The sequence below is a fragment of the Homo sapiens genome, chromosome 9 (genome assembly GCF_000001405.40).
Source record: "Homo sapiens chromosome 9, GRCh38.p14 Primary Assembly".
In the NCBI taxonomy this organism is placed as follows: Eukaryota; Metazoa; Chordata; class Mammalia; order Primates; family Hominidae; genus Homo; species Homo sapiens.
In genome coordinates, this window is record NC_000009.12 from 97,132,063 (window position 1) to 97,155,247 (window position 23,185).

Below are 23,185 nucleotides of genomic sequence, written 5' to 3' on the forward strand. Positions count from 1 at the left end.
CACCCTGGGCAGCACCGTCCCATTTAGGACTGGGCTGAGTCCTGAGACACGACAGTACTGTCCAGGCCTGACGGACTGGGAGGACCTGTTAAGTCCTTCATCTCTAGACCAGCCTCCCACACAGCAAGGACAGTCTCTTACGTTTACCTTCAGGACACTGACTGATCCATCTCACTCTAAAGCAACCAAGGCAGAGCTGAGGACCTGTGCCAGGCTGGGAGCCAGTCCCCTCCCTAAATGGGCCTGAGGGAAGCACCATCCCTGTCCCAATCCGCTGCAAGTTTCAGCCCAGGAGACACATAGGGAAGGGAGGATGGAGCCTCTCTGCTGGCTGACACTGGAAAAGTGGGACCCAGGAGAAGAGGGAGCGCAGGGCTGGCAGGGGACACTCCAAGCCCACGGAGAGCTCGGGCTGCACCATGGGGCTGCCCCTCCTGCGCTGGAAGCTGTGCCCTCTGCAGGATCTGAGAAAGTCCAGTCCTGAGATGGGACAGTGCTGCCCATGGTGGGTGCCCAGTGCCTGATAGCAATCCCCCAGGGAGTGACCACATCACCCGACCAGGGTCCAGGAAGCCTGGGCTGAGATCTGCCCAGTGCACTGAGGGTGCACCTGGAGCCCACCCCACCTGACACCCCCACAGCCCTCACAAGGTCTGACCTCCCAGCATGCACCTGCCTCTCCCTGCACCCCAGCTGCCCACCCTGCCTGTTCCCTGGCTTCCTCTATCCTGTGCAGCTGATAGACTGTGACCATCTATCTGGCCACTCTGGCCCTTCCTTTACCTTTGTCCTTTCAATATCTCTGAGCAAGATCTCCTAGGTCCATCCAAACACCTGCTTTGTCCACTTTTGACTGGGACTTTGGGCACTACTGGGCCATCCCAACTATCCACAGGGCCCTCCATAACGTGCATTGCACCTGACATCTCCCAGCAGTGCTCAGCAGCCCCCACTGACCAGGTCCCTGCTGACCATATCCCACACATCAGGTCCTCCCAGAACACACCCTCATTGATTAGAACCCCATGACCAGGCCCCACTAACCAGGCCCCTGCTGCCAGGCCCACAATGACCAGGACCCCACTGACCAGGACCTTACTGACCAGGCCCCACTGACAAGGTCCTTACTAACAAGGCCTCACTGACCAGGTCCTTACTGACAAGGCCTCATTGACCAGGTCCTTACTGACAAGGCCTCACCGACCAGGTTCTTACTGACAAGGCCTCACCGACCAGGTCCTTACTGACAAGGCCTCACGACCAGGTCCTTACTGGTCAGTGACCCCACTGCCTGGCACCACAGGCAGTAGGGTGACCCTTACTGGACAATGATCCCATTGCCTGGCACCACAGATGAGGCCCCACTGACCAGGCCTCCAGGGAACAGGCTGCCACTGACCAGGCCCGTATTAACCAGGCCTTGGTGACCAGATGCCCCTGACTGTGACCCTAGTGAGCAGGCCCCACTGAATTGGCACCCACTGCTCAGATCCCTGCTCACCAGGTCACCCCATAGACCAGTGCTACAAAAGCCACCACTGACCAAGCTCTCTCTGAACAGGCCCCCACTGATTAGGTTCCACTGACTAGGCTGCCCTGACCAGGGCCCCACTGACAAGGGCCTCACTGATGAGGACATGGTCACCAGGCCCTGCTGACTAGGTCCCATGTGACCAGGCCTCCACTGAATAGCACCCCTTGACCTGGTCACCAGTGACCCAGCCCATGCTGACAAGGCCACCACTAAGCCCCAGCTGACCAGGTCTCCACTGACAAAGCCCCGCAGCCCAGTGTTACACTGACCAGACACCAAACTAGTGGCTGCCACTAGGTCCCCACTCACCAAGACCCCACTACTAGATCCCCCTAATGAGACCCTCTCTAAGCAGACCCCTGCTGACCACGCCCCCAATAAATAGGCCTCACTGACCAAGTCCCAACTGACTAGGTCCACTGATGAGGCCCACACTGATCAGGGCCCTCCTAAACATACCAGAAGGCCAAGCGGCAATGAGATATTTCATATGGCAGGAGTAGGAGTAAGACAGAGAGAGGAAGGAGCTGCCGCATCCTGTTATACAACCAGATCTCATGAGAACTCACTATCAGGAGATCAGCATCAAGAAGATTAACCATTGGTGAAGGAACCACCGCCCATACCACCACCCACTGTTTCCAGGCAGAAGCCTCCTGCAGAGGCAGAGCCTCTTGGGAAACTTCCACTATGGCAGTGCAGAAGGAAAATATGGGCTTGGAGCCCCCACACAGGAGGCCACCATCCTCCAGACCCCAGATTCATAAGCCCACCAACAGCTCACACCCTCAGTATGGAAAAGCTACAGGCACTCCACACCAGCCTAGCCCATGAGAGCAGACATGGGGGCTGAAGCCTGCAAAGCCACAGGTGCACTCTTCTAGTAGAGGTTTTCCATGAGCCTCTGCCTCTGAAGCATAATACTCCCCCTTCCTACTACCCCCCACCCTCCCACCACCCTACTGCCAACCTACTTCCCACCCTACCCACCCCTTTTCCTTCCAACCCCAACCCCCTCCTGCCATGATTAAATCACCTCCCACCAGGTCGCACCTTCAACATTAAGGAGTACAATTCACAGGAGTTTTGGTAAAGAAACACAGCCAAACCATATTATTCTGACCCTGATACCCCAGAATCTCACGTCCTTCTCACAGAGCAACATACATTCATGCCTTTTCAAAAGTTTCCAAAAGTCTTAACTCATTCCAGCATTAACTCTAATGTAAAAAGGTCAACATCTCATCTGAGACAAGTCTACAGTCCCTTTTGCCTATGAGTCCCTGAATTTAAAAGGATGTTCTTTTCTTTCAGGGTACAATGATGGTACAGGCATTGGGTAAGCTTTCTCAATTCAAAGGGAAGAAAATTCCCAGGAAAAAAAAAAACACAAATAGAACCACAAGCCCAATACAAGTCCAAAACCCAGAAGGCCAGTATCCATTCAATCTCATAGCTCCAAAATCATGAAGAAAACTCACTATCATAAGCACAGCAATAAGGAGATGATGTTTAATCATTTGTGAAGGATCCGCCCCACCACCACCACTTTTCACCCCTCACCCCCACCATAATCCCCTCATTCTGCCTACCCCCCACCTTCCAACCCCCATTCTCCACCATGATTAAATCACCCTCCACCAGGCCCCACCTTTAACTTTATTATTCTGTCCCTGGCTCCCAAATCTCATGTCCTTCTCACATTGCAAAGTACAATGATGCCTTCCCTACAGTCCCCCCCAGTCTTATATCATTCCAGCATTCATACAAATGTCCAAAGCTTAAAGTCTCATCTGACACAAGGCTACAGTCCCTTAGGCACATGAGCCTCTGAACTGTAAAGCAAGTTAACTACTTCCAAGGTACAATGCTTGTGCAGGCAATGGGTAAGCATTCTCTACCAAAAGGAAGAATTTTGCCAGAAAGAAAAAAACACGTACAGAACTTACAGGCCCCATGAAACTCCAAACCCAGAAGGCCAGTCATTCAATCCTACAGTTCCAAAATCACCCTTTTTGAAACCTTGTCCCACATCCAGGGCACAGGGACAAGAGGGCTGGGCTCTGATGGCCTTGGGCAGCTCTGCACCTGTGGCTTTGCAGGGTTTATGCCCCACAGCTGCCCCCATGGGCAGCGCTGGTGTTGAGTGCATGTAGCTTTTCACAACTGATGGTACAAGCTGTTGGTGGGTCTGTGAATCTGGGGTCTGCATGATGGTGGCCTCCAGTGTGGGGGCTCCAACCCCATATTTTCCTTCTACACTGTCCTAGTAGAGGTTTCTTATGAGGCTCTGCCTTTTGGGGATGCTTTTGTCTGGTCACCCAGGCATTTCCATACATCTTCCAAAGTCTACAGAGAGGCTCCCAAGCCTCTAGTCTCATGATCCATCCACCCAGTGGCTTAACACTATGAGGAAGTTACCAAGGCTTCTAGCTTGCACCCTCTGAAGCAGTGACCCAAGCTGCATCTGTGCATTTTCAGCCATGGCTGGAGCTGGCGCTGCAGGGATGCAGGCAGCAGTGTCCTGAGGCTGCACATAGAGGGGGGTCACAGGACTGGCCCAGGAAACCATTCTGCTCTCCTAGGGCCCAGGGCCTGTGACAGCATGGGCTGCTGCAGAGGTCTCTGAAATGCCTTCAAGGGCTTTTCCGTATTGTCTTGGCTATTAGCACTGGGCTCCTTTTTATGCAAATTTCTGAAGCCTTCCTAAATTTTCTCCCAGAAAATCAGCTTTTCTTTTTGACCATTTGGCCAGGCTGCAAATTTTCCAAACTTTTGAGTTCTGTTTCTCATTTAATATAAGAGTTGTGACTTGTTTAATGTAAGTCCCATCCAGAGGTCATTTTCTCGGTCACACATCAGAGCACAGGCTGTTCGATGCAGAGAGGACACCTCTTGAGCTTTGCTTCCTAGAAGTTCACTCCACCAGATATGCACTAAGTCATCACCCTCAGGTTTAAAGTTTCACAGATCTCCAGGGCAGGGTCACTGTGTAGCCATGTTCTTTGCTACAACAAAACAAAAGTAACCTTGGCTTCTGTTCCCAGTAAGTTCCTCATTTTTATCTGAGACCTTCTAATGCTGGTTTTCACTGACCATTTTCCTGTCAGCCTCCTGATCACAAGTAGTTAACAATTCTTTACAAAGATCCAAACTTTTCCTCATTTTCCTGTCTTTGAAGCCCTCAAAACTCTCCTGATTTCTGTCTGCCACCCCCTTCTGAACCTGCTTCTACATTATCAGCTATCTTTGTCGCAGCCTGGCAATGTGGTAAAGGAAGACAAGTCAATTTTCAGGGGGGAAATTCAAGAAGGCCTCAGATACTTGAATGAAAAGAATCTGAGTGCTGATTGCCAAGACAACAGGGAAAAGGCCTTGAAGACATTTCACACATCCACTTCCCAGTACTAATTTTCTCTATGATCAGAAAGAAACGGGGTTTAATTGGCTCATGATTCTGCAGGCTGTAAGGAAACATAGCGGCTTCTGAATCTGGGAGGACTCAGGAAGCCTCCCAATCATACCAGAATGTCAAGGGGCAATGACATGATTCATGTGGCAGGAGTAGGAGCAAGACAGAGAGAGGAAAGAGGTGCCATGCTCTATTATACAAGCAGATCTCATGAGAACTCACTATCAAAAGGTCAGCGTCAAAAAGATGGTGCTTAACTATTGGTGAAGGATTCACCCTCCACCCCCAGCTCCCACTGTTTCCAGGCAGAAGCCTGATGCAGAGGTAGAGTCTCTTGGGAAACCTTTACTAGGGAAGTGTGGAAGGAAAATATGGGCTTGGAGCCCCCACACAGATGGCCACCACCCTCCAGACCCCAGATTCATAGACCCACCAACAGCTCACACCCTCAGTGTGAAAAAGCTATGGGTAGTCAACACCAGCCCACCCCATGAGAGCAGCCACAGGGGCTAAACCCTGTAAAATCACAGGTGCACTGTCCTAGTAGAGGTTTTCCATGAGCCACTGTCTCTGCAGCAGGTTACTCCCCCTCCCTACTACCCACCACCCTCCCACCACCCTACAGCCAACCCCTTTCCTCCCCACCCTTCCCACCCTTTTTCCTTCCACCCCCAACCCCCTCCCATCCATGATTAAATCACCTCCCCCAGGCCCAACCTTCAACATTTGGGATTACAATTCCACATGAGTTTCACAGGGACACACAGCCAAACCATATTATTCTGACCTTGATACCCCAGAATCTCATGTTTTTCTCACAGAGCAAAATACAATCATGCCTTTTCAAAATTTTCCAAAAGTCTTAACTCATTCCAAATGTAAAAACTTCAAAGTCTCATCTGAGACAAGGCTACATTCTCTTCTGCCTATGAGTCCCTGAATTCAAAAGGGATTTCTTTTCTTTCAAGGTACAATGATGGTACAGGTATTGGGTAAGCTTTCTCAATCCAAAGGGAAAAAATTTCCCAGAAAAATAATACAAATGCAAGTCCAAATCCAGCAGGACAGTATTCACTCAATCTTAAAGCTCCATAATCATCAAGAGAACTCACTATCATGCAGACAGCATTAAGGAGATAGTGTTTAACCATTTGTGAAGGATCTGCCCCCCATCCTTATCTTTCAACCCCACCCCCAAAATAATCTCAACCATTCTCCCCACACCCCTACCTCCAACACCCAGGCTTCAACATGATTAAATCACCTTCCACCAGGTCCCAACTTTCACGTTCCCCATTACAATTCCACATGAGTATCGGTAGGGACACAGAACCAAATCATATTATTCTGACCCCAGTTCTCCCAAATCTCATATCTTTGACACACTGCGAAGTACAATGATGCCTTCTCTACAGTCCCCCAAAGTCTTAACTCCTTTCAGCATTTACTGAAGTATCCAAAGCCCAAAGTCTTATCTGACACAAGGCTGCAGTCCCTTCTGCCCCTGAGCCTCTGAAATACAAAGTAAGTTAACTACTTTCAAGGTACAATGATTGTACAGGCATTGGGTATGAATTTCCAGCCAAAAGAAAAAACTTTGCCAGAAAGCAGCACAAAATACAGATGAGACTTACAGATCTAATGCAAGTCAAAAACCCAGCAGGCCAGTCATTCCATCGTACAGCTCCAAATCATCTCTTTTTGATCTAAATCCCACATCCAGAGCACAGGGGTGTGATGGCTGGGCTCCCAAGGCCTTGGGTAGCTCTTCACCTGTGGCTTTGCAGGGTCTTTCCCCCACAGCTGCCCTCATGGGCTGGGCTAGTGTTGAGCACCTGTAGCTTTCCACACTGAGGGTGCAAGCTGTTGGTGGGTCTATGAATCTGGGGTTTGCAGAATGGTGCCTCCATGTGTGGGGATTCCAACTCCATATGTTCCTTCTGTACTACCCTAGAAAAGGTTTCCCATGAGGGTCTGCCTCTTGGAAAAGCTTCTGCCTGGAAACCCAGGTTTTTCTGTACATGCTCTGGAGTCCAGACGAAGGCTCCCAAGGCTCAAGCCTTTTGCTCTGTGCACCTGCTGGCTTAACACTATGTAGAATCCACCAAGGCTTGCATCTTGTACCCCTGAAGCAGTGACTCAAGCCATACCTGTGCATCTTTCAGCCATGGCTGGAGCTGGAGCTGCAGGGATGCAGGTAGCTGTGTGCTGTGGCAGAGCACAGCAGTGGGACCTTGCAGCTGGCCCAGGAAAACATTCTTCTCTCTCAGGCCTTAGGGCCTGTGATAGCAAGGGCTGCTGCAAAGGTCTCTGAAATGCCTTCAAGGCCTGTTTCCCATTGTCTTGGCTATTAGCACTGGACTCCATTTTATACAAATTTCTGAAGCTGTCTTGGATTTTCCCACCGAAAATCAGCTTTTCTTTTTGACCACTTGGCCAGGCTGCAAATTTTCCAAACTTTTAAGCTCTGCTTCTCATTTAAATTTAAGTTTCTACTTGAGGTCATTTATTTGGTCACACCGAAGACCACAGGCTTTTGGACACAGACAGGATACCTCTTGAGCTTTGCTGCCAAAAGTTCATGTCTGTGATTTAGATACACCCTATGATTTAGATACACCCTAAATCATCACCCTCAAGTTCAAAGTTTCATAGGTCTCCAGGTTAAGGGCATCATGCAGTGATATTCTTTGCTAAGGCAAAACCAAAGTAACCTTGGCTCCTGTTTTCAGTAAATTCCTCATTTTCATCTGAGATCTTGTAAGCCTGGCCTTCACTGTCCATCCTTCTGTCGCCCTTTTAATTATAACTATTTAACAAGTCTCTACAATGGTCAAAACTTACCTTCATCTTCCTGACTTCTTCCAAGGCCTCCAAACTTTCCAACCTCTGGCTGTTACCCTCTTCTGAACCTGCTTTTACATTTTCATCCATCCTTGTTGCAGCCTATCAATGTGGTAAAAAGAAGAAATGTCCATTTTCAAGGGAAAAATTCACAAAGGGATCCGATATCTGCATGAAGAGAAGCTGAGTGCTGATTGCCAAGACAATAAGACAAAAAGGCCTTGAAGGCATTTCATAGCTCCACTTCCGAGCACTAATTTTCTGTAAGATCATAAAGAAAAGAGGTTGAACTGGCTCATGGTTCTGCAGGCTTTAAAGGAATCATAGAGGCCTCTGCTTCTGGGAGGAATCAGGAAGCCTCCCAATCATACCAGAAGACCAAGCGGCAATGGGATGTTTCATATGGCAGAAGTAGGAGCAAGACAGAGAGAGGAAAGAGGTGTGACACCCTGTTATACAACCAGATCTCACGACAACTCACTATGACAAAATCAGCATCAAGAAGATGATGCTTAATCATTGGTGAAAGATCTGGCCCCCCCCAACACCCCCACCCCACTACTGTTTCCATGTAGAAGCCTGTTGCAGAGCCAGAGCCTCTTGGAAAACCTCTACTAGGGCAGTGCAGAAGGAAAATATGGGCTTGGAGTTCCCACACAGGAGGTTACCATCCTCCAGACCCCAGATTCATAGACCCACCAACAGCTTGCACCCTCAGTATGGAAAAGCTACAGGCACTCAAGGCCAGCCCAACCCATGAGAGCCGCCATGGGACTAAACACTGAAAGCCACAGGTGCACTGCCTTAGTAGAGGTTTTCCATGAGGCTCTGCCTCTGCAGGAGGCTACTCCCACATCCTACTACCCACCAGCCTCTCACCACTTTACTGCCAACCTACTCCTCCCCACCCTACCCCCTCCTTTTTTCTTCTACCCCCAACTCCCTCCCATCCATGATTCAATCACCTCCCACCAGGCCCCACCTCCAACATTTGGGAATACAATTTCCCATGATCTTTGTAGGGAAACACTGCCAAACCATATTACTCTGACCATAAAATCCCTGAATCTCACGTCCTTCTCACAGAATAAAATACAAACAAGCCTTTTCAAAAGTTTCCAAAAGTCTTAACTCATTCCAGCAGTAACTCAATGTAAAAAGATTAAAGTCTCATCCAACACGAGGCTGCAGTCCCTTCTGCCTAAGAGTCCCTGAATGTAAAAGGGAGTGCTTCTCTTTCAAGATACAATGATGGTACAGGCATTGGGTAAGGTTTCTCAGTCCAATGGGAAGAAATTTTCCAGAAAAATAACACAATTGGGACACAGGTCCAATGAAAGCCCAAAAACCTGGAGAGTATGTATGCATTCATCATGAGAACTCACTTTCACATAGACAGCATTAAGGACATACTGTTTAACCATTTGTGAAAGATCTGCCCCCCAGCCCCATCTTTCACCCCCACCCCCAGCCTAAACCCCCCAAACTCACCACACCCTCACTTCCAATCTCAACTGTCCACCATGATTAAATCACCTTCTAACAAGCACCACTTTTAACATTCCCCATCACAATTCTACATGAGTTCTGGTTGGGACACAGAGCCAAATCATATTGTTCTGCCCCTGGCCTTCCAAATCTCATGTTACTCTCACTTTGCAAAATACAATTATGCCTTCTCTACAGTCCCCCAAAGCCTTAACTCATTCCAGCATTTACTCAAATGTCCAAAGCCCAAAGTCTCATCTGAGACAAGGCTGCAGTCCCTTCTGCCCCTAAGCCTCTGAAATACAAAGCGAGTTAACTACTTTCAAGGTACAATGTTTGTGCAGGCATTGGGTAAACATTCCCAGCAAAAAGGAAGAAATTTGCCAAAGAAAGAAGCACAAAACACAGATAGGACTTACAGACCCCATGCAAGTCAAAAATCCAGCAGGCCAGTCATTCCATCATACAGCTCTAAATCATACTTTTTGAATCTACATCCTACATCCAGAGCAGAGGGTGGTTTGATGGCTGGTCTCCCAAAGCCTTGGGCAGCTCAGCACTTGTGGTATGGCAAGGTCTTTCCCCAAAGCTGCCCTCATGGGCTGGGCTGCTGTTGAGTGCCAGTAGCTTTTCAACACTAAGGGTGCAAGCTGTTGGTGGGTCTATGAATCTGGGGTCTGGAGAATGGTGCCTCCCGGTGTGGGGGCTTCCCACCCTATATGTTCCTTGTGTACTGTCCTTGTAGAGGTTTACCATGAGGCTCTGCCTGTTGGAAAAGCTTCTGCCTGGAAACCCAGGATTTTCCATACATACTCTGGAGTCTAGATGAAGACTTCTACGTTTCTAGTCTTGTGCTCTGTGCACCTGCTGGCTTAACACTATGTGGAAGCCACAAACGCTTGGAGCTTGCAACCCTGAAGCAGTGACCCAAGCTGTACCTGTGCATCTTTCAGCCATGGCTGGAGCAGGAGCTACAGGGATGTAGGCAGCAGTGTCCTGAGGCTGCACACTGCAGGGGACCATTGGGCTGGGCCAGGAAACCATTCTGTCCCAGAAAACCATTCTTCTGTCCTAGGCTTCAGGGCCTGTACAGCAAGGGCTGCTGCAAAGGTCTCTGAAATGCATTCAAGGCCTTTTCCCCATTGTCTTGGCTATTAGCACTGGGCTCCATTTTATGCAAGTTTCTGAAGCTGTCTTGAATTTTCCCACTGACAATCAGCTATTCTTTTTGACCATTTGGCCAGGCTGCAATTTTTTAAACTTTTAAGCTCTGCTTCTAATTTAAATATAAGTTTCTAATTGAGGTCATTTATTTGGTCACACAGAAGACCAGGACACAGACAGGACACCTCTTGAGCTTTGCTGCCAAAAGTTCATTCTGCCAGATACACCCGAAACCATCACCCTCAAGTTCAAAGTTTCACAGATCTCCAGGTTAGGGGCATCATGCAGCGACATTCTTTGCTAAGGCAAAACAAATGTAACCTTGGCTCCTGTTTCCAGTAAACTCCTCATTTTCATCTGAGACCTTCTAAGCCTGGCCTTCACTGTCTATCCTTCTGTCAGCTTTTTAATCACAACTAACAAGTAATTACAATGGTCCAAACTTTCCCTCATCTTCCTGTCTTCTTCCAAGCTCTCCAAACACTCTAACCTCTGGCCATTACCGAATTCTGAACCTGCTTCTACATTTTCAGCTATCTTTGTCACAGCCTGGCAATGTGGTAAAAGAAGAAAAGTCCATTATCAGGGGAAAACTTCAAGAAGGCTTCAGATATTAGCATAAAAGAAGCCCAGTGCTAACAGCCAAAAGATTGGGGAAAAGGCCTTGAAGGCATTTCATAGCTTCACTTCACAGCATTGACTTTCTTCATGTACATAAATAATAGAGGTTGAATTGACTTACAGTTCTGGAGGCTGTAAGGAAAGCACAGTGGCTTCTGCTTTTAGGAGGACTCCGGAAGCCTCCCATTTATATCAGAAGGCCAAGTGGCAATGAAATGTTTCATATTTCAGGAGTAGAAGCAAGACAGAGAGAGGAAAGAGGTGCTACATCCTGTTATACAACCAGATCTCACGAGAACTCGGTATCAGGAGATCAACATCAAGAAGATGGTGCTTAACCATTGGTGAAGGATCCACCCAATACCCCACATCCACCCCCCCGTTTCCATGCAGAAGCCTGAGGCAGAGGCAGATCCTCTTGGAAAACCTCTACTAGGGCAGTGCAGAAGGAAAATATGGGCTTGGAGCCCCCACGCAAGATAACACCATCCTCCAGACCCCAGAGTCATAGACCCACCAAAAGCTCCCACCCTCAGTAGGGAAAATCTACAGGCAATCAACACCGGCCCAGCCCATGAGAGCAGCCATGGGAGCTAAAGCCTGCAAAGCCACAGGTGCACTGCCCTAGTGCAGGTTTTCCATGAGCCTCTGCCTCTGTAGCATGCTACTCCCCCTTCCTACTACCCACCACCCTCACACCACCCTACAGTCAACCTACTGCTCCGAACTTACCCACTTCTTTTTACTTCCAACTCCACCCCTCTCAAGTACAGGAATAAATCACCTCCCACCAGGCCACACCTGCAACATTCAGAATTACAATTTCCCATGTGTTTTGGTAGAGACACACAGCCAAACCATATTATTCCAACCCTGATCCCCCAAATATCATATCCATCTCACCGAGTAAAATACAATCTTGCCTTTTCAAAAGCTTCCAAAAGCCTTAACTCATTCCAGCATTAACACAAATGTAAAAGGTTCAACATCTCATCTGAGAAAAGTCTACAGTCCCTTTTGCCTATGAGTCCCTGAATTTAAAAGGGAGTTCTTTTTTTCAAGGTACAATGATGGTACAGGCATCGGGTAAGTTTTCTCAATCCAAAAGGAAGAGATTTGTCAGGAAAGTAACACAAGTGGGGTCACAGGCCCAGTGTAAGTCCAAAACCAAGCAGGACAGTATCCATTTAATCTTACAGCTCCAGAATCATCACGAGAACTCACCATCATGAGGAAAGCATTAAGGAGACGGTGTTTAACCATTTGGGAGGGATCCTCCCCCAACAGCCATTTTCACCCCTCACCCCCACCAAAATCCCCCCATCCTCCCCAATCCCCACCTTCCAACACCCACTGCTCTCCATGATTAAATCACCTTCCACCTGTCCCAGTTTTAACATTTCCAATTACAATTCCACATGAGTTTCTTTAGGGACACACAGCCAAATCTTATTCTGTCCCTGCCTCCCCCAGTCTCATGTACTTCTCACTTTGTAAAATACAATGATGCCTTACCTACAGTGCCACAAGGTCTTAACTCATTCCAGCATTTACTCAAATGTCTGAAGCCCAAAGTCTCATCTGAGATGAGGCAGTCTCTTCTGCCCCTGAGCCTCTGAAATACAAACAAGTTAACTACTTCCAAGGTACAATGATTGTTCAGGCATTAAGAATTCCTAGCCAAAAGGAATATTTTTGCCTGAGAGAACAAAACACAAATAGGACTTACAAGCTCCATGAAAAGTCCAAAACCCAGCAGGCCAGTTATTCAAACCCACAGCTCCAAAGTCACCCCTTTTTTATCCTTGTCCCACATCCAGGGCACAAGGGTGTGAGGGCTGGGCTCCAAAGGCCTTGGGCAGCTCTGCACCTGTGGCTTTGCAGTGTTCAGCCCATGCAGCTGCCTTCATGGGCTGTGCTGGTGTTGAGTGCCTGTAGTTTTTACCCATGGAGGGTACAAAGCTCTTGGTGGGTCTATGAATCTGGGGTCTGCATGATGGTGGCCTCCAGTGTGGGGGTTCCAACCCCATATTTTCCTTCTGCACTGCCCTAGTAGAGGTTTCCCATGAGGCTCTGGCTTTTTGGCAGCCTTCTGTCTGGACACCCAGGCACTTTCACACATCTTCCAAAATATATATGGAGGATCTCAAGCCTCTGAACTAGTGGTCTGTGCACCCACTGGCTTAACACTATGTGGAAGCCACCAAGGCTTATAGGTTGCACCTTCTGAAGTGGTGTCCCAAGCTGTACCTGTGCATCTTTGAGACAAGGCTGGTGCAGGAGCTGGAGCTGCAGGGATGCAGGCAGCTGTATCCTGAGGCTGCACACAGCAGCAGGGCCATGGGGCTGGCCCAGGAAACCACTCTTTTCTCCTAGGTCCCAGGGCCTGTGACAGCAAGGGCTGCTGCAAACATCTCTGAAATGCCTCCAAGGCTTTCTCCCCCATTGCCTCAGCTATTAGCACTGGCCTTCATTTTATGCAAATTTTTGAAGCCATCATGAATTTTCCCTCTGAAAATCAGCTTTTGTTTTGACCACTTGGCCAGGCTGCAAATGTTCCAAACTTTTGAGCTCTGCTTGTCATTTAAATATAAGTTACAACTTGAGGTCATTTCCTTGGTCACACATAAGGGCACAGGCTGTTTGACACAGACAGGACACATCTTGAGATTTGCTGCCTAGATGTTCATTCCACCAGATACACCCTGAATCATCAACCTCAAGTTTAAAGTTTCACAGATCTCAAGGGCAAGGTCACCCTCACCCATGTTCTTTGTTACAGCAAAACAAAAGTAACTTTGGCTCCTGTTCCCAGTAAGTTCCTCATTTTCATCTGAGACCTCATAAGCCTGGCCTTTGTTCCTCCTTCTGTCAGCATTTTAATTACAACTATTTAACAAGTCTCTACAATGGTCCAAACTTTCCTTCATCTTCCTGTCTTCTTCCAAGTCCTCCAAACTCTCCGACCTCTGGCTGTTAGCCACTTGTGAACCTGCTTTTACATTTTCACCTATCTTCATCACAGCCTGGCAATGTAGAAAGAAAAAAAAAGTCTATTTTCTGGGGCAAACTTCAAGAAGCCTTCATATATTTGCATTAAAAAGAAGACCAGTATTAATAGCCAATATGATGGGGAAAAGTCATTGAAGGCATTTCATAGCTTCACTTCGCAGTACTAATTTTCTGTATGATCATAACAAAAAGGGGTTTAATTGGCTCATGGTTCTGTAGTAGGCTGTAAAGAAAGCATAGTAACTTCTGCTTCTGGGAGGACTCAGGAAGCCTCTCAATTATACCAGAAGGACAAGAAGCAATAAAATGTTGCATATGGCTGGAGTAGGAGCAAGACAGAGAGAGGAAAGAGGTGTCACACCCTGTTGTACAACCAGATCTCATGAGAACTCACTATCACTAGGTCAGCATCAAGAAGAAGGTGCTTAACCATTGGTGAAGGATCCACCCCCCAACACACCTCTACCCCCTGCTGTTTCCAGGCAGAAGCCTGAGGCAGAGACAGAGCCTCTTGGAAAACCTCTACTAGGGCAGTGCAGAAGGAAAATGTGGGCTTGGAGCCCCCATGCAGGATACCACCATCCTCCAGACCCCAGATTCATAGACCCACCAACAGCTCACACCCTCAGTATGGAAAAGCTACAGGTACTAAACAACAGCCCAGCCCATGAGAGCAGCACTGGGGCTAAACCCTGCAAAGCCACAGGTGCACTGTCCTAGTAGAGGTTTTCCATGAGCTTCTGCCTCTCAATCAGGCTACTCCCCCTTCCTACTACTCCCACCCTCCCACCACCCTATGGCCAGTCTACTCCTCCCCACCCTCCCCACCCCTTTCTCCTTACACCCCTGCCCTCCTCCCATCCATGGTTAAATCACCTCCCACCAGGCTTCACCTCCAAAATTCAGGATTACACTTCCACATGAGTTTTTCTAGGGAAACACAGCCAAACCATAGTATTCCAAACTTGACCTTTCTGTATCTCATGTCCTTCTCACAGGGTAAAATACAATCATGTCTTTTCAAAAGTTTCCAAAAGCCTTAACTCATTCCAGCATTAACTCAAATATAAAAAGTTCAAAGTCTCATCCGAGACAAGGCTAGTCTCTTCTGCCTATGAGTCCCTGAAGTTAAAACGGAGTTCTTTTCTTTAAAGGTACAATGATGATACAGGTATTGGGTAAGCTTTCTTAATCCAAAGGGAAGAAATTTCCCAGAAAAATAACACAAATGGGACCAAAGGCCCAATGCACATCCAAAACCCAGCAGAGCAGTATTCATTCAGTCTCACAGCTACAAAATCATGAAGAGAACTATCAGAAGGACAACATTAAGGAGATGGTGTTTAGCCATTTGTGAAGGATCTGCCCCCACCCCTGCCTTTCACCCCTACCCCCTCCATAATTCCCAATTCACCCCACCAACCCCATCTTCCAACCTCCACTCTCCACAATGATTAAATCACCTTCCACCCTCCCCCACCTTTAACATTTCCCATTACAATTCCACATCAGTGGGACAAAGAGCCAAATCATATTATTCTGTCCCTGCCCCCACAAATCTCATGTCTTTCTCACATTGCAAAATACAATGATGCCTCCTCTACAGTCCCCCAAGTCTTAACTCATTCCAGCATTTACTCAAATGTGCAAAGCTCAAAGTTTCATCTGAGACAAGGATACAGTCCCTTCTGCCCATGAGCCTCTGAATTATAAAGCAAGTTAACTATTTCCAAGGTACATGATTGTACAGGCAATGGGTAAGCATACCCAGCCAACAGAAGAAAAATTGCCAGAAACAAAAACAAAACACCGATGGGACTCACAGGATACATGAATGTCCAAAACCCAGCAGGCCCGTCATTCAATCCTACAGCTCCAAAATCATCCTTTTGGAATCCTTGTCCCACATCCACGGCACAGGGGTGTGAGGGCTGGGCTCCCAAGGCTTTGGGCAGATCTCCACCTGTGGGTTTGCAGTGATAAGTCCCCGCAGCTGCCCTCATGGACGAGGCTGGTGTCGAGTGTCTGTATCTTTCCCACACTGAGGGTGCAAACTGTTGGTGGGTCTATGAATCTGGGGTTTGAAGGATGGTGCCTCCTTGTGTGAGGGCTTCAACCTGACATGTCCCTTCTTTCCTGCCCTAGTAAAGGTTTCCCATGAGGCTCTGCCTCTTGGAAAGGCTTCTGCCTGGACACCCAGGCTTTTCTGTACATCCTCTGGAGTCTAGACGGAGGCTCCTAAGCCTCTAGTCTCTTGCTCTGTGCACCTCCTGGCTTAACACTATGTGGAAGCCATCAGGGCTTGGAGCAGTGACCCAAGCTGTACCTGTGCATCTTTCAGCCATGGCTGGAGCTGGAGCTGCAGGGATGCAGGCAGCGGTGTCCTGAGGATGCACACAGCAGCCAGGCCATGGAGCTGGCCCAGGAAACCATTCTCTCCTCATCCCTAGGGCCTGTGACAGCAACGGCTGCTGAAAAGATCTCTGAAATGCCTTCAAGGCCTTTTCCCCATTGTCTTGGCTATTTGCACTGGGCTCTTTTTTATGCAAACACTCTAAGCGTTCTTGAATTTCCCCCCTGAAAATCAGCTTTTCTTTTTGACCACTTGGCTAGGCTGCAAATTTTTCAAATTTTTGAGCTCCACTTCTCATTTAAATAGAAGTTGCAACTTGAGGTCATTTCTTAGGTCACACATAAGAACACAGGCTGTTGGATGTAGAGAGGACACCTCTTGAGCTATGCTGCCTAGATGTTCATTCCACCAGATACATCCTAAATCATCACCCCCATGTTCACAGTTTCAGAGATCTCCAGGGCTAAGGCCAATCAAATGTACCCTTGGCTCCTGTTCACAGGACATTCCTCATTTTCATCTGAGACCTTTTAAGTCTGGCCTTCACTGTCCATCTTTCTGTCAGACTTCTGATCCCAAGTATTTAACAGTTATTTTCAGTGGTCTAAACTTTTCCTCATCTTGCTGTCTTCTAAGGGTTCCCAACTCTCCCGACCTCTCTCTCTTTTACCCACTTCTGAACCTGCTTCTACATTCTCAGATATCTTTGTCACAGCCTGGTAATGTGGTAAAAGAAGAAAAGTCCATTTTCAGGGGGAAAATTCACAAAGGCTTCAGATATCTTTATGAAAAGAAGCTGAGTGCTTGTTTCCAAGATAATGTGGAAAAGGCTCTGAAGGCATTTCATAGCTCCACTTCACAGCACTAATTTTGTGTATAATCATAAAGAAAAGAGGTGTAATTGGCTCACAGTTCTGCAGGCTGTAAAGGAAGCATAGTGGCTTCTGCTTCTGGGAGGACTCAGGAAGCCTCCCAATCATACCAGAAGGCCAAGGGGCAAGTAGATGCTTCATATGGCAGGAGTAGGAGCAAGACTGAGAGAGGAAAGAGGTGCCACACCCTGTTATACAACCAGATCTCATGAGAACTCACTATCACAAGGTCAGCATCAAGAAGATGGTGCTTAACCACTGGTGAAGGATCCGCCCTCCCAACACCCACCTCCACCTCCCACTGTTTCCAGGCAGAAGCCTGCTACAGAGGCAGAGCCAGATTCATAGACCGACCAACAGCTTGCACCCTCACTGTGGAAAAGCTACAGGCACTCAACACTAGCCCAGTCCATGAGAGCAGCCGCGGGGGCTAAACTTGCAAAGCCACAGGTGCACTGCCCTAGTAGAGGTTGTCTATGAGGCTGTGCCTCTGCAGCAGGTGACTCCCCACTCCCACTACATCCCACCCTTCCACAACCCTACAGCCAGCCTTCTCCTCCCCACCCTGCCCACCTCTTTTTCCTTCCACCCCATCCACCTCCCATCCACGATTAAATCACTCCCACCAGGCCCTCATCTTTTTGTCATTTTCCAGTCCCTCCAAACCCTCCCAATCTTTGTTCATTACCCACTTCTGAACCTGCTTCTATTTTTTCAGGTATCTCTATAGCAGGTTGGCTATGTAGTAATAACACAAAACCCGATTTAAGGGGGAACATTCAAGAAGACTTCAGAAATTTGCATATAAAGAAGCCCTGTGCTAATAGCAAAGACAAAGGGAAAAAGGCCTTGAAGACATTTCACAGCTCCTCTCTGCAGTTCTAATTTTCTGTATTATCCTGAATAAAAGAGGTTTCATTGACTCAGGGTTCTGCAGGCTGTGAAGGAAGCATAGTGTCTTTTGTTTCTGGGAGAAGTCAGGGAGCCTCCTAATTACACCAGAAGGCCAAGTGACAATGAGATGTCTCCTATGGCAGGAGTAGGAGGAAGACAGAGTGAGGAAAGAGGTTCCACAGACTGTTAAACAACCAGATCACATGAAAACTCACTCACTCTCAGGAGGACAGCATCAAGGTGATGGTGCCTTATCATTCATGAAGGATCTACCTGCACCATTTTGTGACTAAATCTTTTTCCACCTAGGCCCCACCTCTAACATTAGGGAGTATAATTCCACATAGGTTTTGATAGGGATATAGAGACAAACCATATTATTCTGTCCCTGACCCCATGAATCTCTTGTCCTTCTCACATTGCAAAATACAATCATGCCTTGCCAGCATGAGTCTTAACTCATTTCAGCATTAACTCAAAGTTACAAAGTCCAAAGTCTCATCCGAGTCAAGGCTATAGCCTCTTTTGCCTATAAGCCTCTGAAATAAAATGCAAGATCACTGCTTCTAAGGTACAATGATGGTACAGGCATTGTGTAAGCTTTCCGTATCCAAAAGGAAGACATTTTCCAGAAAGCTTCTTATTTCCATCTGAGACCTCCTCAACCTGGCCTTCACTGTCCTTGTTTCTGTCAGGATTTTTTGTCACAACCGTGTAACCAGTCTCTAAGATGGTCCAAACATTTTCTTATCTATCTGTCTTCTTTTGAGCCCTCCAAACTCTTCCAACCTCTGTCCATTACCTAGTTCCAAAGCTGTTTCCACATTTTCAGGTATCTTTATAGTAATGCTTCAGTCCTCATTTGCCATTTTCTGTAAGATTCATTTTGAAAAAGAGGTTTAATCGGCTCATGGTTCTGCAGGGTGGACAGGAAGCACAGGGCTTCTGCTTCTAGGAGGCCTCAGTAATCTTCCAATCTTCCTGCAAGGTGAAGAAAGAGTGAGTTGTCTCACATGGCAAGAGGAAAACATGCGGAGTAGGGAGGTGACATAGAGTTTTCAATGACCAGGTCTCATGAGAAGTCACTCATGATTGTGAGGACAGCAGCAAGGGGATGGTGCTAAACCATTCATGAGAAATTTGCCTTCAGGATTCAATCACCTTAGACCAGGATCCACCTTCAACGTTAGGAAATATAATTCAACATGAGATTTGGTAGGGACACATATTCAAATTGCATCATCAATCTTTGAATATAAAGACATCCATAGCAGGCTTTACCCAGCCAGCTTCTTTGAGACTCTTCACAGGGTTTGGGGTCTACAGCATATACACTAAAATATTCATACTTCAAAAAGCAATAAAGTAAGTGGTATCATTCTTCCAAAAGTTACAATGGTAGTGTAGGAATTCATAGCATGGTTTAGGTCATGTTTGCTACTGTTTCTACTCTATCACCATATTAACTGTTTCCTACACAATTCTATATTCAGCTGAGTTTCAATTGAGAACAAAACCATCCTTGTACTACCACCAATACCTGGCACTAGCTCTTTGCTAGTGTTATTGTTCTGCTGTAGAAAGTATCCTTGAACTGGAAACAGTCCACAATCAAGTATCTAGTCATTCAACACTATAAATTCCCGGGTGACTTTTTGAAAAAATAGTATCTCTTGTTGCAAGAAATGCTGCATCTGTGAGTCCATGTTTCTCACTTGAATTGGATGGAAGTGGTGAATTTCAGCCACAGTGTCCAAAGAAATCCTGTTCCTGTGATTCCGACATCATCAGCCTCTGCACCTCTGTCTTCCCTTCTGCCACATGTTGCCTACTCTCCGTGACTTTGGTTAGAGCTTCCTTGTGTATGTGGATGATGTCCGGGATGTTGGCCTGGTGTCCCTGAGACAGCACTAACAGGTCCATGACTGGGTCCCATTCCTGGCTGGGCTGATTGGCAAAGAACTCACCGACAGTGTTGAAGGCATCTCTGGTGAAGTGATGGCCTGCTCCAGCTGCAAGACCTGGCTGAGGATGAAGAACTGGCCACCTTCTGATGCACTTTCTTAAAGCCCATCACCATCATCTGCTTGCATGTCAACTCATTGGCTGAGAAATTGAGCTGAGTGCCCTGTTGTCTATCTTCTTGGTAAAGCACTCAAAGCCGTCAATCTTGTTCTCCCACTCCTAAAGGTTGAGGGCCACCTTGGGGGTGGGCTCAGGGTCAGAAAGAAGCTGGAATTCACCATCTCATCCTTCTTAGCCTTCCTCTTGCCCTGTCTCCAGGCTGTCTCTTCAGTGCTGGTGTGGCACATCAGGAAGTGATGGAAGATGTGGCACTGTGCCTGCACCCAGAAGCTGGCCGTGTGGTTCATCCACCAGATTGGGCCCTTTCTGCACTTGAACATAGAGTCCTTCTCAAGATGGCCTGTGGTCTGCCTCTTGGCACCCAAGAAGCCCACAGTGCTGTAGGAGCCCTGATGCATGGACTGGAGCCCCAAAGGCAGTGCACACCCTGCTCCTGAGCCTGCTGCTCATTTCCTCTATGTGGCTCCATTTGCAGCACAGTTGTTGCACTGAGGCCTGTGCATGCCAGGCAAGGCCAAGCTGGCTCAAAGAGCAACCAGCCACCTCTGCAAGGGTGTGCCAGGTGCAGGTGGACCAGCCACCAACCTCACTCACTGCCAGTCAGGGTAAATCAGTTATTCTGCCCTGGAGGTAGGGCCCCAGTGCCATCTGCTTTTCCTCAGGCCTCCACTCCATCAGCCGTCAGGTGGCAGCCCCTCAGGCTGTGGGAACCTGGCCACCCCTGCTTCCTTGAGTGGGTGAGGTTGGTGGCTGATCCATCTGCTCCAGGCACACCCTTGCAGAGGTGGCTGGTTGCTCTTTGAGCCAGCTTGGCCTTGCCTGGCATGCACAGGTCCTGGGTACTGACACGCTGCTGAGTGAGCTTGTCCTGTGTTGGGCCAAATTCTAACTCTGGCCAGGGCCACAGAAGGCTGAGTCCCCTGGGTGGTAATCCTGACTGCTGCTGGGGGGCCCATAGTGCCCCTCCCGTCCCAGGGCCCAGGATGAGGCTTGACTGGGCCAGGACCCTTTAAGTATGGATCTTTGTTCCCCAGCAGGGGGCCTCTGTCCCACAGGTTGGATGAGAAGATGCTGCTGGCTGCCAGGGTTGTTCGGATGCCACGTTCACCTTTTCCTCCGGGGACATCAAAGTTTCCAGCTTCCCCTTTAAGAATGACTTCCCAAGGCCCAGGTGCCATCTGGGGCTGCAGGGCAGCTGGCTGCCTGCTGCCCTGGCTTCTTCCATGTTGTGCTGGTCACTACCCACCAAGGGGGTCAGATGCAGGCACCGTGCAGGGCGGTTGTCTCTGGACCTGCGTCTTGGTTATCATGGAGCCAGACTGGGCCTGGTGACAGGGCCGTGATGGGGTTGTCCTGGTGGTCCTGGGAGTGTCCAGAGGAGATGCAGAATGGAATTGCTGCAAGGATGAATGAGATGACTGTCAGCACAGAAAAGGCACACGGTGAGTGCTCAGGGATTACCCTCAGTAGCTGCAGAGGCCAAAACCAACCATCTGATAGCGACTGTTCCCAAGCCAGGAGGAAGAGAAGAGAGCAGGTCCCACTCACCTGAGTCTGATCAGTGTTGAGATGCGCCTTTCACCTAGAAAACAATCCTTAACGCAGAGCCACTCACAGAGACTGCTGTGTGTCTCTAAGTGCTCCACAACACAGAGGCGATGGGGACTCAGAAAGAGTGACATCGTGGGGTGACACAACCCACCACAACGGGAGCCTGCTTGGGTCAAGAGGGCCAAGAGTCAGTGTCCTCTATCCCCTGAACTGACATGTGAGCATGCGTTGTGTTTGTGTATGTGTGTGTGTATGTGCATATGGGTGTGTTTGTTTGTCTTGCTTCTCTGGCCAGGCCTAGCTGCTCCACTCACAGGAGCACCCAGGTCCTCATCACTAACACCACTAGGGCCCAGGGCCAGGATTAGAGCCTCCATAGGTGCTCCCCAATCTCTGCCCTCCCCACCGAGGGTGGTCCTGGGGATGCAGACAGAGGAGGGGCGCTGAGCAGAGCAGAGAGGGCTGGCACCCTCTCTAGGTGGAACCCAGGTCGTGTGTAAAGTTGGAGGTCTGCCAAGCAGTGCTGAATTCAACACATCTTCTCACATTCTCTTTCCAGCAACTCTCCAGGGTGCCCTGACTCAGCTTCCCTACAGATGGAGGCAAGGAGGCTCCACAGACAAACCCCGTGCCTGAGGTCACACATTGGCTAACTGGCCAGGTTCCTACTGACCAGGTGCCCCCAATGAGGCCCCTAATGAGCACTTCTCCATTGACCAGGTCCCACTGATCAAGTCTCCACTGACCATTGTCTCCCTAACCAGGCCCCCATTAGTAGGCCTCATGGACCAGACCCCACTGACCAATTTCTCACTGACCTGGTCCCCACTGACTGAGTTCCCACTGACAAGACCACAATTTACCAGGTTGCCACTCACCTCACCTCCACTGAACAATTCTCCATGGATCAATCCCCAGCTGACCGAGCCCCCTCTGACCAGACCCTCAATGACCAGGCTGCAAGTGTCTAAGGCCCCACACTGACCAGACCCCTAATATACTGAATAGATCCCACTGACCAGTTTTTTATTGTTTATGTTCCAACCGATCAGGCCCCACTAAGGCGGCCACCACTGACCAGGTCCCCACTGACTAGGCTTCCAATGACTAGGTCACAAGGTACCCACTCATGAGATCTTCACTGAGGAGGCCACCGCTAACCAGGTCCCTGCTGATCAGGTCCCAACTGACCAGGTCCTGATGGCTAGGTCATCTCTGACCATGGTCCACTGATGAGGCCCTTGAGCAGCTGTGTTCAAAGTCTCATTACAATGCCCCCATCAGCCCACAGACCCTTCCTTCCTGCATGTGTGCCCAGAGGTCAGGCCCTGGGGGTTTTCTTGGGCTGTAAGGCC

The 23,185-nt window shown here is 48.6% G+C and overlaps 1 long non-coding RNA gene across 2 annotated transcripts, besides 1 other annotated feature; it reads right to left on the minus strand.

Annotated features, from left to right (window-relative positions):
- Nucleotides 1-7,806: 7,806 nt before the first annotated feature.
- Nucleotides 7,807-21,022, minus strand: LOC112268050 (uncharacterized). Of its 2 annotated transcripts, XR_002956927.2 has the most exons (6): nucleotides 19,735-21,022; nucleotides 18,997-19,175; nucleotides 15,899-16,038; nucleotides 12,579-14,089; nucleotides 11,796-11,864; nucleotides 7,807-7,892 (listed from the first exon to the last, which is right to left on the minus strand). It is a non-coding gene; the product is annotated as an uncharacterized LOC112268050 (long non-coding RNA). The 2 variants fall into 2 exon arrangements; XR_002956925.2 differs by having other exon boundaries at nucleotides 18,997-21,022.
- Nucleotides 16,525-16,819: a silencer, noted in NCBI's record as "tiled region #737; HepG2 Repressive non-DNase unmatched - State 23:Low". NCBI's record gives its function as "represses a minimal TATA promoter and a strong SV40 promoter by Sharpr-MPRA in HepG2 cells {active_cell/tissue: HepG2}" and the evidence as "EXISTENCE:reporter gene assay evidence [ECO:0000049][PMID:27701403]".
- Nucleotides 21,023-23,185: the final 2,163 nt, after the last annotated feature.